General features: G+C 37.3%; 1 protein-coding gene across 6 annotated transcripts in view; it reads left to right on the forward strand.

Annotated features, from left to right (window-relative positions):
• Positions 1-21,545, forward strand: part of GRAMD1C (GRAM domain containing 1C) — a 118,983-nt gene that overhangs the window by 67,559 nt on the left and 29,879 nt on the right. For 4 of the 6 annotated variants that reach the window (XM_011512930.2, NM_017577.5, XM_005247547.3 and 1 more), the window contains 4 exons: positions 5,281-5,396; positions 8,390-8,522; positions 13,208-13,370; positions 19,951-20,088. In XM_011512930.2, coding sequence (XP_011511232.1) covers positions 5,281-5,396; positions 8,390-8,522; positions 13,208-13,370; positions 19,951-20,088 — 550 coding nt within the window. Of the gene's footprint in view, positions 1-1,749; positions 2,064-5,280; positions 5,397-8,389; positions 8,523-13,207; positions 13,371-17,322; positions 17,411-19,950; positions 20,089-21,545 lie in introns of those variants that run through there. The other 2 variants (NM_001172105.2, XM_017006649.2) reach the window with 2 other exon arrangements.

A 21,545-nucleotide genomic window follows, 5' to 3' on the forward strand; every position in this document is an offset into this window, starting at 1 on the left:
GAGCTACACCGCCTTCTACCCAGTCACCCAAGCCAGAAACCTAGATGTATCCTTTTTCTTGCCTCTTTGCCAGCCAGCCGTGTCTAGTTGGTCACCAAGGTCATCATCATTTCTAGCTTGAACCATTACCAATGTCTTCTTATCTCTTTTTAACACCTGATCTGTCTTTGAGGTTGATGTCAAATAGTAGTGTTTTAAAATCATGTCTTTTAAAATCATAATTCTGAACTTGTTACTTTTCTATATGAAACCACTGGGTGGCTTTTGATATTTCGACAATGTAAAGTCCATATTCTTTGGCATGGCATACAAGGCTCTTCATGACCTGGCTGCTTCCTCCTTCCCCACTGTATCTCCTCTCCCTGCCTCACTCTCATGACACACACATGCTCAAGTGATGGGGAACTGGTTTGGCAAGCTGCATCATTCCTCTGGATGCTTGCATTTGACATACATGTGCTCATCCTGTGCTCATCTTACTTGACCTTTCGGCAGCGTTAGATACCACTGTATACTCCCTCTATTTTGAAATACTTTCTTCCCTTGCCTTTCATGACATTCTTTCTGGAATCTTCTCTTACCTTTCTGGTATTTCCCTGAATCTTTTTTTGCTGGCCACTCCTCTATTTTCTCTTTGTGTGTTGGGCTTTCTTGGGGTTCAGTTTTAGGTTCTGTTTTTCCCTCTGAAGCCTACTAAATTTAGCTCTGCCCTACATAGCAGTGGTTTGGTATAAGGATTTTTATATTTAGCAAAAATGTGTATAAATATCAGTTGTGGTACAGTTAATGTATATTTTCTCATAGCTATTTGTTCACCATCGTAAATATATTTAGTTACAATTTCAGTCAATGAGAACTACCATAATATGCTAAAAGCACTGCCTTTTAGACAGCGGAAGCTGCCCCCACAGTGGGCTTTCTTCATTTGAATGAGTAGTATTTTCAGCATCACTCTACTCTATCTCATTCTGCCATTGTATAAAATGATGAGATTTTAGCATCCCTCAAAAGGTTGATCCGTGGAGTTCATCAAGTAGCCTTTGATTTGTTTACACACATCACTAAATTAAATGGAATGACTAGGTAGAAATTAGGGCAAATTTTGCTTCTTTATTTAGAAGAAAAATTTTCTTCTGAGAAATAAATAGGAATTAGTAGATGAAACTGTACTGTCTATTATAGTCCAGATCACTGCCAGGGAATTATTCTAAATACACCAAAGTCAGAAATATTTTCAAAGAAAAGAATTATTGAGTAATCAAAATGTTGCCTTAAACCTTTCAGTGATGAGAGATGTGCCGGGTGCTTAGTAGAATTATTCCACCTGAACAGCTGGCTCTTCCTGCTATTTCCTTACGTTACATTTACAGCACTCAGAGATAGAATCTTTGGTTGTTGTAAAGGATTAATGCAAGAGTCTGATAGGAATACTACGTCAGTACTAGAGAAGTAGTATATGAAGAGGTAATCATGACATTCCCAGAATTGCATAGAAATTACTAGCATGGAGAAGAAAAATTAACCTGTAATATAGTTAATTTTAAAGATGAGATTAAAATAATATTGCAGTAGCTGTTTTATATCAATTTAGCATAAGCAAGATGTTTTTACTTTCATTTTGTTTTTTCTAATCTGTGCGTAGAACAGAGAAAATTAGGAACTGTCCCTTTAATAAAACCTGTTTACCTATCTTCTTCTTGTAGGAGTGGCTTAGGAACCTGTAGAGTGAGGTATAACTTCCAATTCTGCATTCTGACCTGCAACCTTGGAAAGAGTGCTGGTACTACAACCAGGAAGTGACAGATAATGTGCTTTAAACTACATTAGAAAAGCTTCTCATAGCAAAACTGAGAGATTGAAGCAGTGATTATTTTTACATAGTTGTCATTAAATATTTGGAGCTCTGCTGTGCATAGAGATGGCAACATACTTAGAATACACAGCTTTCTGGGCCAGAAATTGATCTTCTGACTTTTGAGCCTTATCTGATTACTGCTTGGTTCATCTTTATTTTGTTAAACTACTCTGTAGGCTGAAAGGGAGAGACTCTCCTTGGTTTGCAGGTGGGTGGTCAGCTTGTGTTTAAAATTTAGGTTGTTTTGAAGACTACTAAGGTAGATTATTTTTGCTGCTGATTATTGAAAGAATTATGAATATCAGGCTGGGCATATGTTTGAATGTTTGAATGTTCAACATGGCTGTAAATAACCACATTTTTATGAAAACTGGACAACTTTATAGAAAACGTCATTTTTAACAAATTGGCAAATCTACAAGATGGTGAATTACATGAGTTATATTTTATTTTCCATTAACCTGTTATATATATTAAATTACTAGCTTGAAAAGTATATTGTGATTACCCTGCTATTAACTTCCTGCTAGTATTTAATACAATATTCAAAACATTTATGTAGTCAAATAAAATTACATTTTTGTTGTTAGTATTTTACTAATAAGTTTCATTTCTTTTGCTGTTAGGAAGCTGCCTGAGTATTCATCATTGGTTTATCTTTTTGCTTTAGTCTGCCTTTGTAATCGTTTGATATCTATTATTTAAGAAAAGTTTTTATAAAAGATTAGTCTTACACAAGTATATTGAAATATTGCTTGCTTCTCATTATAAAGTTAACCATCCTAGTAAGACACTAAAATATTTCAAAGATAATTTCTTTGGAAGAATGAGTTAATTAGTAGTGTGAGTTATTATTGTGAAAAAAAGTTCACAACAAATGACTCATTTGGAGTGGAAGTCAGAAAATAAACGTGTATGTTCCTTTAATATCAAGGACAGTGGTTTCTTAATTTTCTCTACCACTAATGGTCCTTTTTATGTTTTTTTCTATGGACACTGTGCTTCCAAAGACTTTGTCTACCAAATAAGGGGTATACATTAAATAATAAATATTAAAACATCACTACTTGTTAGATATATATTATTTCCAGTGAGAATTTATTAGCCTGTGTTATCCATTGTAGGTTAATATAGTTCAGCTCGAAACAGAGGCTTGCCATTTCACTTAACTTGAATAGCTTTATTTTAGATAATTGGATATTTTTGACTTTTTGAAATATTATCTGATAATATCTGATGATAATATCTGAATTTTCATCATCTGCTCTTGTGGAATCCTGGTAATCTGGGCACAGTAGATTGGGAACTAGTGGTCTAAAGTGCAGACATTTTGTTCTTAATATCTTTGAAGGTCCATGAAATGTAATGAAGGTCATCTAGTATAACATAACAAACAAAGATGCCATAGTTACTAGACAGAGAAGAAAAAAGGAGGAAGAAAAAGGAAGTGGTATTTATTGTAGGGAACCCTGGGGAGGAATTCAAGGCATCTGTGTTGTGGCCCCATCAAGTCTATATTTATCTCTACTATTTCGCAACTTAAAATTTTTATTTCAGTTAGGCTGATAGACTACTGACTTCAAAACAAATGTTACTTATGTTCATGTATTTATTCTGTATTTTTAGTTGGTTTCCGTCTCTTCAACTTTTCCCATTTCTCCATTTCCCCATATTCTTCCTTTATCTCAGCTGAAAACACTTCTCCAATGTGAAGCTTTATCTGATCACACTAATCCACAGTCCTATTTCCTTCCTTTAGACTTTCATATCATGTTGACTGTACCAGTACTTTAGTGCATGATCATATTATATCTTGTCATATAACTTAAGAACATCCCATGTCTCTTCAACTATATTAAAAGTTGTTTGAGGGCCAGGAGCTTAACTTCTACATTATGTTTTTATGTTTATTCTCCTTAGCATCTAGTGCAGTAACGCACATTTGTTAGGTACTAAATAAATATCTGTTGAATGAATGAGAGAGATTATCTTACTAACAATTGCTTCAAGTGTTATGCTACTTCCTTACACCTTGCTTAAGCAGGTAATTAACTATCTGTAATGTTTTTAGACATCAGACCATTGGTTATCATAATATTGTTATTTAATTTTATTTTTCAACTGGAGGCCATTATCCTAAATCATAATAATACTGTTTTTGTTTTGCTAGGTAATGTGTGAGTTTGTTGTATTTGATGATTTAAAAATTTGTTAATTTCTGCCTACAAAGAAAGAACAAGCTGGACTTTATTAAAGATAAATCAAAGGAAAAATTCTGAAGTCCAGACTCTTGCATTTTATATATTAGGAAAATATAGTTTAAAATTTATTGATATATAAGATTTTTAAAGTGGTTAAAATATTCAGATACATTATGGATTAAGAGGACAGGTTCTAAGCTGACAGGGCTGAACGGTGATTCAGTGGTCATGGTAGACTGGTTAGATTGCAGAACTAAACTGAAGATCAGAGGCTAGGCACCATGTCTCACGCCTATAATATCAGCATTTTGGGAGGCTGAGGAGGGTGGATCACTTGAGGTCAGGAGTTCCAGACCAGCCTGGCCAACATGGTGAAACCCCATCTCTACTAAAAATACAAAAATTAGCTGGGTGTGGTGGTGCACACCTGCAATCCCAGCCACTCGGGAGGCTGAGGTAGGAGAATCGCTTGAACCTGGGAGGTGAAGGTTGCAGTGAGCTGAGATTGCACCACTGCACTCCAGCCTGGGTGGCACAGTGAGACTCCATCTCAAAAACAAGCAAACAAACTGCAGATCAGTAATTACCAGAAAGTATGAACAAATTATTATTATTATTATTATTATTATTTTGAGATGGAGTCTCGCTCTGTCACCCAGGCTGGAGTGCAGTGGCACAATCTTGGCTCACTGCAACCTCCGCCCCCTGGGTTCAATCGATTCTCCTGCCTCAGCCTCCTGAATAGCTGGGACTATAGGTGTGCGCCACCATGCCCAGCCAATTTTTGTATTTTTTTTTTTTAGTGGAGACCAGGTTTCACCATGTTGGCCAGGATGGTCTCGATCTCTTGACCTCGTGATCTGCCTGCCTCAGCCTCCCAAAGTGCTGGGATTACAGGCGTGAGTCACTGTGCCTGGCCTGAACAAATTATTTTACAGAAAGAAAATTTAAAACATTTTTAACCTCCCATTTTCAGTAGTTATTATAATATGTACTTTAAAATCATTTTATCTATTCCTTTTATGAACTCTGCCAGATAGCTTTTATTAACTCATTTTTATAGATATGCAAAATGGAGGTACAGAAAGGTCAAATAACTACCAAAGCCCCATATCTAGTCTTTGCACAACAGGTCATTTTTGACTTCAAAACTCATGTTTTGAATCACTGTGATATTATATTTTATATTTTCCAATGCTCAGTGTAATTTTTCTGTCACTTTAGAGCCTGACTAGACAGGAATTCTGGCAACTGCTCCAGCAGAACTATGGCACTGAGCTAGGTTTAAATGCTGAGGAGATGGAAAACTTGTCACTGTCGATTGAGGATGTGCAGCCAAGGTACAGCAAAATGTTTTGAAATGTCAAAATTTATCAATTATTAATCAAAGCAGAATTATTTTACATTCGACTAATTCTGAATTTCTAGTAATTTATCTTTGGCTGCCATTTGCCCCTTTGTTCTTTGTGGTGGAATGGGGTGAAAGGTGGGGACAGAGAATAGTTTGCTAAATAGGTAAGCACATATGAGATATATAAGGAAATGTTGGCTATGTCACTTAGGGTAGACTTAAAGTCTGGTTTTAGTAAGCCTGTTTATTAAGGATCTGGAGAAGTACCTAGTGAAATCTCTGAGTTTATAGATGACAGTAAAGTAAATTATATGGTAGGTGTTTTGAAGGATACAATAACATGATTTTTCCTCAGGAATTCCCTAACATAGTGCTTAGCATGTGGTTGGCACTCCATAAATATTGAATACATTAATGGAAGGAGCATATAGCCTACCGTGGAATGCAAATAATTGTAATACAAGGTCGATAATGGTAAGAGTCATAACAGAGTAACAGATAATGTGATAAAGAAATTAAGAGTACAGAGAGACTATTTTTGACTGATGAGGATTCATTTAGAAGAGTGGACATTTTTATTAACCTCTACAAGTAAAAGTGCATTATGTCCAGTGGAAATTGAGGCTGTTAGCAATAAAAACAATTAAGGAGAATACATTAAAATTCTATAGCAAACATTATGCTGAGTGAAAAAAGCCAGTCACAAAAGGCCATATATTGTATGATTCCATGTATGTGAAATGGAGTCTAGAACTGGTAAGTTTATAGAGACAGAAAGTAAATGGTAGTTGCCAGGAGCTGATAGGAAGGGAGAATGGGGAGTGACTGCAAGTGACTGCAAAGCATTTCTTTGTTGGGGTGATGACAATGTTCTACAATTAGTTAGTGGTGATGGTTGCCCAACTCTGTAACCCACTAAATTGTACACTTTACATGAAGTGAATTTTGTGGTGTGTGGATTATATCTTAAAAGCTGTTATTTAGAAATTCTATAGCAAATCTTAAAATGGAAATATTTTGAAAGTCTCAAAGTATGTGCAGAAATTTTACTCATCTAGGTAATCTACTTATGCTGATCCAATTTATATCTTTTCAGCTTAGCATCAGTATTTTATAGGCTTTTTTACATGGTTGCACATGTATATTTTATTAGCTTTCTGTAAAGTTAAAAATTTCCATTGTATTGTTCTCCTTGAGAAGTTTAGTAGCCTCTTGCCGGCTCTGGATTTGGATAGAAAAGCAGTTACTCTAATGCAAAGAGCCTTGGATTATGGTAAACAGGATCTGGATCTTAGTTAGGGTCACCAAACAGCCGAGCAACCTCAGGCAAATCTTTTCATTTTTTTGATTCTCAGTTTTCTCGTCTATGAAATGAGGCAGCTGAACTAGATTATCTTTAAGGTCCTTGCCAACTTGAAAAGTTTCTAGTCTTTGAGGAAAGAAAGAATATTTTTGACTAGCTGCTGTTTTCTTCTGGCGATTGAATGCTTTCTTTTTTTTCTTTTTTGAGACTGAGTCTCACTCTGTCACCCAGGCTGGAGCACAGTGGTGCGATCTTGGCTCACTGCAACCTCCGCCTCCTGGGTTCAAGCGATTCTCCTGCCTCAGCCTCCCAAGTAGCTGGGATTGCGGTGCCCACCACCACGCCTGGCTACTTTTTGTATTTTCAGTAGAGATTTTGCCATGTTGATGAGGCTGGTCTTGAACTCCTGACCTTAAGTGATCCACCCTGCCTCGGCCTCCCAAAGTGCTGGGATTACAGGTGTCAGCCACTGCACCTGGCCTGAATGCTTTCTTTTTTTCTTTTCTTTCTTTCTTTTTTTTTTGGAGATGGAGTCTCACTCTGTCACCAGGCTGGAGTGCAGTGGCGTGATCTTGGCTCACTGCAACCTCTGCCTCCGGGTTCAAGCGAGTCTTCTGCCTCAGCCTCCCAAGTAGCTGAGACTTCAGGTGCGTGCCACCACGCCCAGCTAATTTTTGCATTTTTTTTTTTTTTTAGTAGAGACGGCATTTCACCATGTTGGCCAGGATGGTCTCGATCTCTTGACCTCATGATCAGCTCACCTCAGCCTCCCAAAGTGTTGGGATTACAGGCATGAGCCATCATGCCCGGTCGGCCTGAATGCTTTCTAAGAAAGTGTGTGGCAGGATCCTCATTCTCTCTTCTACTTCTTTTCCTGTTCTTCAGTCTCTGAAAGAAGCATATCTGTTTCAAACCTTTATTTCCTCGGTTCTTCCATCTTCTTCCTCTTTATTTGCAATCTCTCCTTCCTTCTTCCTCCTCCTTTCCTCTCTGTTTTTCCACATCTCACCTCCATCCTGTTGAGCATTGGAAATTAGATCAGTTGTGCTCCCATTGTATTTAATAGGTTTTCCTTTCTTTTTGCTCCTTGAGAAAGGGAAAGCAGATCCCAGGACATTTATTATAGTCTTGGCCATATGATCATTTGACAGCTGTTTCTTAAACCTTGTTCTTAGGGCTGGGAAGAGTGAGGAGGCAGGAGTGGCCAATGGGCTTAGGCTCAGACATCTTGAGCGTCCACTTCTGGGAGGGCTTCGCCATTTCAGCTGAGACTGAGTCAGAAGGAAGGAGATATAAAACTGCCTTCTTGTGCGATCTAGTATCTAACTCAAACATCTACTCTGTACCTGTCCAAGCTTTGTGGTTGTACACAAATGAAATTTAAAGGAGCAATTTTCATTTGATTAGTTACTGTTACGGCCATTTGTACTTTGTTAATTTTTTAATGTTTTTGAGATTTATAGAATCCCATGTGAGTGTATCTTGTTTTCAGAAATGATATCAACTTGCATGTAATTTAAGAAGATAGCCTTGTTATAAGTAAACATTTATTTGCTATATTACAGTAGTCCATTTATTATCAAACTGTTTTATCATAGGAAATGACCTCAGTGAGGAGACCAAATCATTTATTTGTGTGGAGGTGACCTTATATTTCTATAATGATGTGTTTCTTACAGAAGTCCAGGAAGAAGCAGCTTGGATGACTCTGGGGAGAGAGATGAAAAATTATCCAAGTCAATCAGTTTTACCAGTGAATCAATTAGTCGGGTTTCAGAAACAGAGTCATTCGATGGAAATTCATCAAAAGGAGTTAGTATATGATATCCCTTTTAAAATATATCTGGTACTGTCATGTCCTAATCAGAATACAAGATAAATAAGGATACAGTATACAAAATGTTAAAAATAAGATATCAGACTCCTACCTTATTTTAGGAAAAAAGTTTAAAGTCTGTTAGTAGCAGAGATTATGTGGGAAAATATGTGGTTTTGTTCAGAGCTATATAAAAAGCAGAGCTACCGAGCAGTTTTACCTGGGCATCAGTCTGTAGGGGGATAAATATCATTAAAAGAATAATAAGATGGAGAAATTTGTAAGTAGCAGAATTTTCCCCAGGGTAAGTACTGTGTGTGCTGGAAAGAATCTGTTTTTTTTTTTTTCTTTCTTTCTTTCACAGAAGGGAACAGCATGGAGAAAGAATCTGTTTTGAAGGGAGAGATGAGCCCCTGAGCAGCATGCTTGAGTAACAATAGCTGCTTTTTAAGCTTTTTAAGCAGGCAGGTCCAGTTAACTACTAGGCATTATACTCAATTACTTAGTTTCTTCCTTTATTTTCTCAAGTATCATTGTAAGCACATCAGTTTTTTGTTTTTAGTTTTTTGGGTTTTTTGAGATGAGTCTCGCCCTGTTGCCCAGGCTGGAGTGCAATGGCATGATCTCGGCTCACTGCAACCTCCACCCCCTGGGTTCAAACAATTCTCCGGCCTCAGCCTCCCAAGTAGCTCAGGTTACAGGCACGTGCCACCACGCCTGGGTAATTTTTTGTATCTTTAATAGAGATGGGGTTTCATCATGTTGGCTAGGCTGGTCTTGAACCCCTGACCTCATGATCCACCCGCCTTGGCCTCTCAAAGTGCTGGGATCACAGGCATGAGCCAGCATGCCCGGCCAACACTTCAGTTTTTTATTCCAGTGTGCTTCAATCACTTGCAGTCATTATTTGATTCTCAGTTTGCTCCCTCTGCCAATGGGAGCCCCTTCAAGTTGGTTCCTTTGGCCTTTTGAAATGACCAGTATCTTTAATGATGTCTTTTCTTTCTGGCACAACAATATCTTCTAAGCACATTTTGTATGTTTTCTGCTCCAGACCGTTTTCTTAATGAACCATAGATTTTCTTAGTGAAGAATGGTATTTAGAGACCATATTCTGAGTACTAGGAGTGCTCCTACTGCAGAGCCTTTGTTCTGCTGATTGGGATGCAAGTTTGGGGGCAGAGCTGAATTCCTTTATTTAGAGCAGGGCTTTGGCTTCAAATCTTACATCTGCCACTTGCTAACTGTATAAGTTAATTACTTAACCTTTTCTTTTCTTTTCTCAACTGTAAAGTGAGGATTATACTTTATAAGGTCTTTTTTAATAAGAGTTAAATGAATTAGTATATATGAAAATGCAGTCATGCTCTGTATAATGTTTTGGTCAGTGATGGACTGCATATGTGGTGGTGGTCTCATAACTTTTTTTTTTTTTTGATACAGAGTTTTGCTCTTGTTGCCCAGGCTGGAGTGCAGTGGTGTGATCTCAGCTCACTGCAGCCTCCGCCTCCTGGGTTCAAGCAATTCTTCTGGCTCAGCCTCCTGAGTAGCTGGGACTACAGGCATCCGCCACTATGCCTGGCTACTTTTTAATATTTTTAGTAGAGATGGGGTTTCCCCATGTTGGCCAGGCTGGTCTCGAACACCTAACCTCAGGTGATCCACCTGCCTGAGGCTCCCAAAGTGCTGGGATTACAAGTGTCAGCCACTGCAACCAGCCAGTCCCATAACATTTTAAGGGAGCTGAAAAATTCCTTTGCCTAGTGAGGTACCATCATAACATGGTAATGCAATACGTTGCTCACATGTTTGTGGTGATGCTGGTGTAAACAAATCTGTGCTGCCAGGCCTATAAAGGTATAGCACAAACAATTATAGAAGTACATAATACTTGATAATAAAATAATAAATCATTATTTTAGAGTACACTCTTTCTACTTCTATATACAAAAAAAGTTAACTTTGAAACAGCCTCAGCCAGGTCCTTCAGGCGGAATTCCAGAAGAAAATATTGTTATCATAGGAGATGACAGCTCCATGCATGTTATTCTCCCTGACGACCTTCTAGTCGTACAAAATGTGAAGGTGGAAGCAGTGATATTCATGATCCTGATCCTGTGTAGGCCTAGGCTAACGTGTGTGTTTGTGTCTTAATTTTTAACAAAAAGGTTTAAAAATAACAAAATAAGAAAAAATTAAAAATAGAAAAAAGCTTTTAGAATAAGTATATAAAGAAAGAAAATATTTTTGTACAGCTGTCCAGTGTGTTTGTGGTCTAACCTAAGTATTTTTACAAGAGTCAAAAAGTTTTAAAAAAAAGTTCATAAAATAAAAATGTTACAGTAAGCTAAGCTTAATTTATTATTGAAAAAACAATTTTTTTTTGGTAAATCTATTGTAGCCTAAGTGTACGATGTTTATAAAGTCTGCAGTAGTGTTCAGTAATGTCCCAGGCCTTCACATTCACTCACTACTCACTCACTGACTCACCCAGAACAACAGAACTCAGTCCTGTAAGCTCCATTCATGGTATAAACAGGTGTACCATTTTCTAAATCTTTTGTACCGTGTTTTTACTGTACTTTTGCTATGTTTACATACGTTTAGATACACAAGTACTTCCCACTGTGTTATACTGCCTACAGTATTCAGTAGAGTAACATGCTGTCCAGGTTTATAGACCAGGAGCAATAAGCTATACCATATAGCCTGGGTGTGTAGTAAGCTATACCATCTAAATTTGTTAAGTACACTCTATGACGTTGGCACAACAATAAAATCACCTAATGATACATTTCTCATAATGTATCCCTGTCATCAAAGCAATGTATGACTGTACTTAGAATAGTTCCTAGCACACATTAAATATCCAATAACCATAAGCTGTTATAATTGAAGGTGAATCTGCCTGTGATCAGTAATGATCCTTTTCCACCCTCCCCCAAGAACTTCCAGTATCTCCTCTGAGTAAATGTTGGGAAAACATTGAATGAAAATATATTTATGTGGAAGGCCAGCATGTTATCAACTTGTTTTTACCAGTCATGCATCTACCTTAGCCTGGTTTTGTGTTTTGTGTTTCTTGCAAAACTTATTCATCTAGAGACCCTTAGTGACTTACTACTGGTGCAAGGGAAGTGAATAACTTAATGCTTTAAGATCGATCATACATTCATTGGTGTTCAGTATAGATGTTTTCAGGTTATAGAATACAAGCAGTATAGAAGTTTAGCCCTTTTTTTTTCTGTTTGCATTCAAGAGCCATATGATGAGATTCTCAGATATCTACAAGCATCGTATGTCACTTGCTTTGCCTCATTTTCACTTCTAACAAAGTTGGAAATAACAAAAAGTCAAAAATAACTTTTTTCCAAGAAAATATGTTTTTTAAGCTATAGAATTAATACTCTTTGTAAAACTTCATGAAATACAGTAGAGTATACAAAGAAATAAAAGCCATCCAGATACCAACCACTGAAAGATAGTGACTCTTACTTTTCCTATAAATATCTATCTGTATTCTTTATAGTAGGAAATAGAACTTAATTTGCAACAAGAGGAGACGTGTAAGTGTGGAGCTGTAGAGAAATGTACTCTACTTAGCATCTGTTAAGGGGCCCCTGGTTTAGCTAAATAGGCACGTTGCTTTATAGTGTGGAACTCCCAAATAAATCAAGTTTTGATTTTAGCAATAATCTCTGCATGAAGAATCAATCTTCTGACCAGGGCAATATAATCCTTTAATAAATTGTGTCCTCGGTCCCAGTTGTTATTCTGCTATCTGGGTGGCCAGTGGAAACCTGTATCCTCCCTGGAGCTGATTCTGCTACTTAGTGCTTCTCAAGGATCTCATGGGACAGGAAGTAAAGTGCTCTCTTCCATCTGTGTACATACAGAAAATGCAAGAAAATATTCTGCTGTATAGTTTATATAGACTTTTTGTACTATTCCACTAAGTCTGATTATAATACAGTACTATTTTACTTGAATACTAACATAGCAATAGCATCATACTTTAATGCCTAACATTAAATTTATTATAGAGATGACATCATCTTTATTAAACCATCTCAGAAAGTATAGATAGCATCATATATTAAATACATTTTAATGCCTAATCTCTTAGTCCCTTTGCAGCAAAGCCAATTGTGTTTTTATGAGTTTGCTATGAAGTTAATTTGTTTTAATCTTCTCTCTCCCACTGTACTCATATGTGACTTTTATCTCTCCATTTTCTTTCCATTTCCCTGTTAGGTCTTGAGAGATGGGTGAGTTTTCTTCCTTGAGATGATGGGGCAGGCACTGGCTGGGGAAGCTAACTGGGTTTGGTTCTTCTCCCTTGTCTACCCCAAAGAATGGATTGTTCTATTATTTTTGTCCTTTGTCCCCTTTCCCTTCTCCATAAGTGATTTACATGATCTGTGAAGCTCTTTTATATGGTGTTTTTCATAAACTTGTTTATTATTGTGTAGGATGACTTTAGAATGGTATATATTATTTATTCATATTTTACGGACCGACATTTAATAGCATGGGAAATGTGATGCAAGTATAACAAACAAAATGCTGTAAATATTCTTCAAAGCTCAATATTTCAAAGTATCTTTAATATTAAAGTTCTCACTGCAAAATCTAAGCTAAACCTGTGTTTTATTTTGAAACTGGATTGTTTACCTTTTAGGGATTAGGCAAAGAGGAGTCCCAAAATGAGAAACAGACCAAAAAGAGTCTCTTACCAACTTTGGAAAAGAAGTTAACTAGAGTGCCATCAAAGTCACTGGACTTGAATAAAAATGAATATCTTTCTCTGGACAAAAGCAGCACTTCAGATTCTGTTGATGAAGGTAAATAATTTCTTATAAATTTTATTAAATTTCAGTTATGTCTTTTTATGTTTATCTTTGTAATAGGGGTGTGCAGATTGAGAATTTAGTTTTATTAGACACAGTCTCACCCTATAAAGAAACAAAAAAAGAATGGGAGCTTATAGAAAATAGGAGAAAGAGGCTGTTAAATCTAACGTATCCCACTGTCTTCAGAAGCCTGGAATCTGAAAAGCTTCTTTGCATTTAGCTTCTAAATGTGGTGTTAATAAAAACATATATGCCCATTCTATATACCAGGCAGTGTGATATGCTCACACGTCATAGGTAGAGTGACATATTATTTCATTTAGGCTATCCCTCATTTTCCTGGTAGGGAAAATAAGACCTACAGGAGCTAAATCTAAAGTCACACAGCTAGTTAACTATGCAGAACTTGAGTTAATGACCAGGTGTCTCTGTCCAGTTTTCTTTTTACTTTACTTCAATACTGCCCAAGTTATTTTCTCTTTTCCTCCTTTTAAAAAAAGACAGCTTAGCAAGGTTTTTCTAAACTTGTTTTGTATATAATTATGAAAGCAAGTAGTTATGGCAGGGATGCATTCTCACATGAATATTAATTTAAATTATTGGGTAGCCTCCAAAAGGAAATAAAGAAGATTCTCAAAAATTCTGGAAAGGAAATCTTTCTCTCTGTAAATGATTTTTTAAAAAGTGTACTCATCAATGTTACTCAGAACAATACTCAAATTTCTTTGTGTGAAGATGCAAGCTTTTGACTGTGGTTATATTTTAGCATAATGGGATGAGTTTTTTGAAAGCAAGAGCATGGAAAGTTCATCATAATTGCTCCTGACTTTGATTTGTTTTTACTGTAGTCAATTTCCATTTAATTTTAAAAATTTCCATTTAATTCACTTTCAGAGGAACATTCTATATTTGAAATTTATTACAAAGATAAATGATAATAATATTCCATATGGCATTAAAAAAAACTTATTTGGCTGGGCACAGTGGCTCACGCCTGTAATCCCAGCACTTTGGAAGGCCGAGGCGGGTGGATCACACGGTCAGGAGTTCAAGACCAGTCTGGTCAACGTAGTGAAACCCTGTCTCTACTAAAAATACAAAAAATTAGCCGGGTGTGGCGGTGTGTGCCTGTAATCCCAGCTACTCGGGAGGCTGAGGCAGGAGAATCTCATGAACCCAGGAGGCGGAGGTTGCAGTGAGCCTAGATCACGCCACTGCACTCCAGCCTGGGTGACAGTGTGAGACTCCGTCTCAAAAAACAAAACAAAACAGAAAACTTACTTGGTTTTAGAGGGCCAGCAGAGATTAAGCTTAATCCTAATATGATGATAAAGAGAATCATGACCCAAAGGCCTTCTGAATTTCAAGAGTATTATATTCTAGATGTTTTTCACATTTTGTATTGTAATCCATTTTGTTTTGTATTGTAATCCATGTGTACATGAGGTCTAGAGTGGGCTCAACAAATAGCAGTCCTTCTTGACCACCCTGGTGGTAACAAAATTGGGAAAGAAAATGAAGAGCAAGTCAGATAGAGGCCAAAATATCACCTTTTATACTAATAGTAACAAAGTCAACGGATGTGGGTATGTGTGAAAGATAAGTGGGCTGCTGATGGAGCTGAAGAATGAGGTGGACTTACCTATCAATCACAGGCAATGTTCAATCTCCTCCCCAACTGGAGGGACGATCCCCCCTGGAGGAGAACCAGCTTCTGTGGGCACCTAGATCCAGAGAGAAGGACAGAGGTGTGCCAAGCCTACCCAACATACTCCTTCCACATTTACTAACTGTATTAGTAGCTCAGGCTGCCATAACAAAATACTACAGATTGGGTAGCTTAAGCAACAGAAATTTATTTCATATAATTCTGGAGGATAGAAACCCCAGATCAAGGTTTGGCAGAGTTGGTTTCTGGTGAGGGCTCTCTTCCTGGCTTGCCACTTTCTCACTGTGTCTGCTCATAGCCTTTCCTTAGCACATGCTCATGGTTAGAGGAGCAAAGTGTGAGGGAGGAGCAGAGCAGGGAACAACAGAGAGAGAGACACACACACACACACGCACACGAGAGAGAGAGAGAGCATACATGAGCAAACTCTCTGGTATTTTTTTTTTTTTCTTTTTGAGACAGAGTCTGGCTCTGTCGCCCAGGATGGAGTGCAGTGGTGTGATCTTGGCTCACTGCAATCTCTGCCTCCCGAGTTCAAGCGATTCTTGTGCCTCACCCTCTGGAACACCTGGAGTAGCTGGGATTACAAACATGCACCACCACGCCCAGCTAATTTTTTGTAATTTTAGTAAACAAGGGGTTTCCTCATGTTGGCCAGGGTGGTCTTGAACTCCTGGCTTCAACTGATCCTTTAGCCTCGGCCTTCCAGAGTGTCTGGTGTCTATTCTTATAAGGACACTAATTCTACCAGATCTGGGACCCACCTTATTTAACTTAATTATTTCTTTCCTTCCTTCCTTCCTTCTCCCTCCCTCCTTCCCTTCCCTTCTTCCTTTCTTTCCTTCTTTCTTTTTCTTTCTTTCTTTTCCTTTCTCTCTCTCTTTCTCTCTCTGTTTCTTTCCTTCCTTCCTTCCTTCCTTCCTTCCTTCCTTTTCTTTCTTTCTTTCCTGACAGAGTCTTGCTCTGTCCCCTGAGCTAGAGTGCAGTAGCACGATCTCGGCTCACTGCAACCTCTGCCTCCCGGGTTCACACCATTCTCCTGCCTCAGCCTTCCAAGTAGCTGGGACTACAGGTGCCCACCACCATGCCCAGCTAATTTTTTGTATTTTTGGTAGAGATGGGGTTTCACCATGTTAGCCAGGATGGTCTTGATCTCCTGACCTCGTGATCAGCCCGCCTCGGCCTCCCAAAATGCTGGGACTACAGGCATGAGCCACCGCACCTGGCCAATTAACTTAATTACTTTCTTTAGAGGCCCCATCTCCAAGTACAGCCACACCAGGAGTTAGGGCTTTAACAGAATAATTTGCGGCTACACAAACATTCAGTCCATACCAATAATCTACTTCCTATGGTTAGAGTGAGTTAAAGGGGTAGAGAGAGGCTGGGAATTACCCTAATTGGGCACCTTTAACTCGGAAGGGTTGAAGAAGAGACATCTCCACTGCATTATATATAATACCCAGCACACAATAATATTGTGTTAGTCAATGTAAGCCCATTTCCCAACCATTTTATGTAGATGTAAGTTTACTATGTTAATGTGTTTTCCTTAATATAAAATTTAATTTTTTAAAACATATTTTAAAAACTTCCAAAATATAGATTGTGTGTGTTATACTGCTTTTAGGTTTGAGAAAGATAAAAGATTTTGGTTTTTCTTGGTTGAGCACGGTGGCTCATGCCCGTAATCCCAGTACTTGGAGAGGCCAAGGTGGGAGGATTGCTTGGGCCAGGAGTTTGAGACCAGTCTGGGCAAGACTTGTCTCTACAAAAAATAGAAAATTAGCTGGACATGGTGGTGCATGCCTATAGTCCTAGCTACGCAGGAGGCTGAAGCAGGAGCATCACTTGAGCCCCAGGAGATCAAGGCTGCAGTGAGCTATGATCACACCATTGCACTCTAGCCTGGGCGACAAAAGAGCCAGATCCAGTCTCTTCAAAAAAAAAAAAGATTTAATACTTTTTATGTTTCAGTTTTGAGGATAGATGTTATAGACACTATGATTGTGTTACTTTCTTGTAACCACCAATAGGAGAGAGAAAGGGAAAGAGAAAGAGAAAGCAAAAAATATAATAAAAGTAGTTGTTTAAAGGAAAATTTAGTACAAATTACTTGAGGCTTGTTGTACTTATTAAGTAGGCATTTTAAGGACTCTTTTTCTTAAAATTGTAAGATCCTTGCCATTGAAGTCAATGTAGTGGGAGACATTTGGAAAGATGAAGGGTAACATAGAGACTGCTTTATTAGTGTCCTTACCATTCTTGCTTTAGTATGCAGCTGGGCATGGATTAGTCATACGCTGTTTACCTGAATTTAGGACTTTAGGAAGATCTACTCTGGCCCCCAGTGGCCAAATAGGTAAGTAGCACCAAAACCAGGATTTTTGTTTTCTCTTTCTCACCTGCTTCTTTTATAAGAATGGTCCTTCCAAAGTAGTTTCAGCTGGATGTGGTGGCGCGCGCTTGTAATCCCAGCACTTTGGAAGGCTGAGCCAGGTGGGTCAACTGAGGTCAGGAGTTCGAGACCAGTCTGGCCAATGTGAGGAAAGCCCATCTCTACTAAAAATACAAAAATTAGCTGGGTGTGGTGGCACACGCTTTTAATCTCAAGAGTGAGACTCTGTCTCCAAAAAAAAAAAAAAAAAAAAAAGAATCCTATAAAAGAAACATTATAAGTTGCATAAAGGATAACAATAAAACTGATAAAAATTGTACATATCTAGAAATAAAGAATAATAGTGTATAGATTCATTATTGCACAGGAGCTCTGATCACACTTTGCTCCTTGCAAAGGCTGTTTGGCTTTATAGCAGTAAGAAGGTATATGTAACATTCAGACCTCTGTTTGGGGAGTTTTATTTAAAGTGTATGGCGATTTTTTTCTTATTAGATTATCATTAGATAGCAAATCAAGCGCTCCTACTGGTTTCCCTAAGCACGTTCCAAAATCTTGGACTTGTCATATGTATTAAATGGGTAAAATAATGAATCTGTGTTTTTACTTTTTTAAAGTTGTGAAGTTATGAAGACGGTTGAAGTCAATGAACTGAAGTGACATTTGAAAAGGTCACAAAAAGTAAACCATCCCAGGAGACTGGGGATGTGTGTGTGGGTTTAGAGGGAGTGAGGGAGATTGCAGATCACTTTAAACCAAACATCATTTTATTTAGTGATAGTATATTGATCTACTATAGTAAGCAGGAGAAAGATAACAAGTCAATAAATCAATAAAAATATAACTACAAGTCAGGATAGGTTCTGTGAAGGAAATGAACAAGATCAACAGAATCACCTTTAGTTGTTTTCTTCCTTTGTGAATATTTGAATTATTTTTACAGTGAACATATAATACTTCTGTGTCAGAAAAAGCTGTTTCCCAGGCCTAATTGGAAAGTTACCTCACAAAGCTTAGCAAAATTGCCTAGTTTTGTGATTCATTTCTACGCTGAAGGAGCCATTATTTGAAACTGCAGTAAAGAGTTTTTGCCTACGTAGAGTATTGTTGAAGGGAGAAGCAAATCAATATCTATCTGATATCCATAAGTCCTTTATGCCTCTAGCAAAATAGGGAGACACAAATCATCCAATGAGGGATAAACAGCAGTAGTTGGGGATGAAGCCAGAGCTAGCAGAGTTTTTCTGATCCATAGACTATTGCCCTTTGATTTAACCTGACTAATATTGACAGATGCTTTACCCAGATCATTCTTAGAGCTTGATTTCTGAAACATGGGGAGCTTTTGCAGCAATTTTTATTCTGTATCGATGGGGCATCATCCTTGAGATAATAGTAAGTAATCTTGGTCCTGAAATCATTACAATTTCATATTGAATTGCTTTATGTTACTTCCTCTATTATGCCAGGCTTCTGTTCCTTGGTTTTTTTTTTTTCTTTTCTGTTTGGTTCTTCTAAGTTAAATTCCTTCTGGCGGTATAAAATAGATGTTAAGTTTATGTGCTCTGGAGCTGGAGTGGGTTCAAATTCCAGGTCAGTCACTCACTAGCCATGGAGCCTCGGCAATTATTTCTGTGATTCTGTTTCCCCATCTGGAAATAATGATGATAATACCACTTATCTCATAGCATTGCAGTGAGAATAAGATGAGTCAATACTTGTAAGGTATGTAGCACAATGTCTAACATATAGTAAGCACTATGTAAGTATGGGCTATTTTATATAATATTTCCAGGGCATATGAGAATAGGTGAGCAAGATATTGCTTCTTCATTTGTCACTAGTAGTTTTCAACATCACTATGATTATCAAATTCCCAGAAAAAATGTAATAATTCATTGGGCATTTGTTAGCTTTGATGAATACTTTTCAGAAGGATTTCTTAGTTCTTTTAATGTGTGATGTTGAAAATAGGTTGTGATTACAGTCATTCTTGTCTTTGGGTAGTGAACATTAAGTCAAGTTGAAACATTATTCAGGCTGATAAGCTAAGTGCAGCAGATATTATAGCCATTGATAAATTAATATTTACTGAGTGAGCATTCAGAGGTAGAAGTTGCTAATTTCTATGTTAGATACTATCTTATGTGTCTATATTGTCCTTGTCCCTTTTGAAATATTCTTTTGAGTGACATATTATGGCCATTTGATACCATTCAAGTGAAATATTTCTGTATCTTTTGGGTTTTGACAGTTGAAATATTGATTATATGTAGTTTAGTTAACTATATATTGTTATGCATAGTTATAGGTCATACATATGTATATATTTAATTCCTATTTGGAGTTTTAATAGTGTCCTAGAATGTTCTCCTCATTGTAATCATATTTAAAAACCATTTTATGCCCAAAATAAAAAAAGAAAACCCCACGAAACCCCCTAAAGCCTTAAAATAAACTTTCTTTGATTTCTTCTCTTTTGGTTTGTGTTTCTGTTTTTCCAGAAAATGTTCCTGAGAAAGATCTTCATGGAAGACTTTTTATCAACCGTATTTTTCATATCAGTGCTGACAGAATGTTTGAATTGCTCTTTACCAGTTCACGCTTTATGCAGAAATTTGCCAGTTCTAGAAATATAATAGGTTAGTCCTTGTGTTCTTACCTAATGATAAATTTGGGAGAATGCTATTATTCTTAGAATATTGAGCATATATAAACTGATTTATGTTGTGAGGAGGAAGAATTAGACATGCTTTGCTTTTATGTTGACAGTATATAAACTGGTATTCAAATGTTTGGTTAAATTCACATGTGAACAGTATAATTATTTAATTAGGCACATGCTTCCAACAATTAAGTTCAGACTTTTGAAAACTAAAAGTATATTTATTCATTAAGGTACCAATTCGATTAGGTTGAACTCAATTCAAAATGGTTTCATGTGAAACAACTGAATTTTGGTGGAGTGTAAATTGGAACAACCACTTTGCCAAAAGGCTTGGCAGTAACTACTAAAGGTATGAATTCTCTGTGACTCAGCAGTTCCACTCCTAGGTATACATTCATCAGAAATGGGTACATTTGTACTCTGAATGACGTACTACAGTGTTCATAGCAACATTATTTATGATGGTCCCAAACTCAAAACAGTTCAAGTGTCCATCAGTAATAGAATGGGTGAATAGATTGTGTATATTCCCACAAAAGAATCCTATATAACAATGAAAAAAATACAAAGTACTGATACTTGTAACAATATGAGTAGAACTCACAGATACAATGTTGAGCAAAAGAATCCAGATACAAAAGAGTACATGCTATATAATTTCTTTATATAAAGATAAAAACCAGGCCAAACAAATTTATGGACATAAAGTCAGCATAGCGGTTACTGTTGTGGAGAGTCAGGTAGGTGAAGACTGGGAGGGAGCTTTTGGGATGCTGGTTTAAGTTCTATATCCTGATCAGAGTGGTGGTACATGTATGTATTCCCTTTGTGAAAATCATGGAGCTGTACACTTGAGATTGCAGTATCTATGGACTACTTCAAAGAAAATATATTTTTAAAAGTTCCATTTAAGAAATTGGTTAAATTTCTTAATTGGAAATTAATGGTTAAATCCTCATAAGAAGAATTTCATTGATTATGTGTTAAAAAGTTTTATTTTGGGGCTGGGTATGGTGGCTCATGCCTGTAATCCCAGCACTTTGGGAGGTTGAGGTGGGTGAATTGCTCGAGCCCAGGAGTTTGAGACCAGCCTGGACCCATCTCTACCAAAAAATACAAAAATTAGCTGGGCATGGTGGTGCACCCCTGTAGTCTCAGCTACTTGGGAGGCTGAGGTGGGAGGATCTCTTGAGCCTGGGAGTTGGAGGTTGCAGTGAGCTGAGATTGTGCCACTGCACTCCAGTGCCACTCTATCCAGTGATAGATTGAGACTCTGTCTCAAAATAAATAAATAAATAAAGTTTGAAACTGAATTTATCCTAAATGTTTTTGATATTTTATTAACTTTGGGAGCACATGATTTAGCTTGCTACATAAAATTAGAATGCAGCAGCAGCAGAGATTCATATAAAGTGAGTCATTTGACATAGT

Source organism: Homo sapiens, chromosome 3, assembly GCF_000001405.40.
Source record: "Homo sapiens chromosome 3, GRCh38.p14 Primary Assembly".
Taxonomy (NCBI): Eukaryota; Metazoa; Chordata; class Mammalia; order Primates; family Hominidae; genus Homo; species Homo sapiens.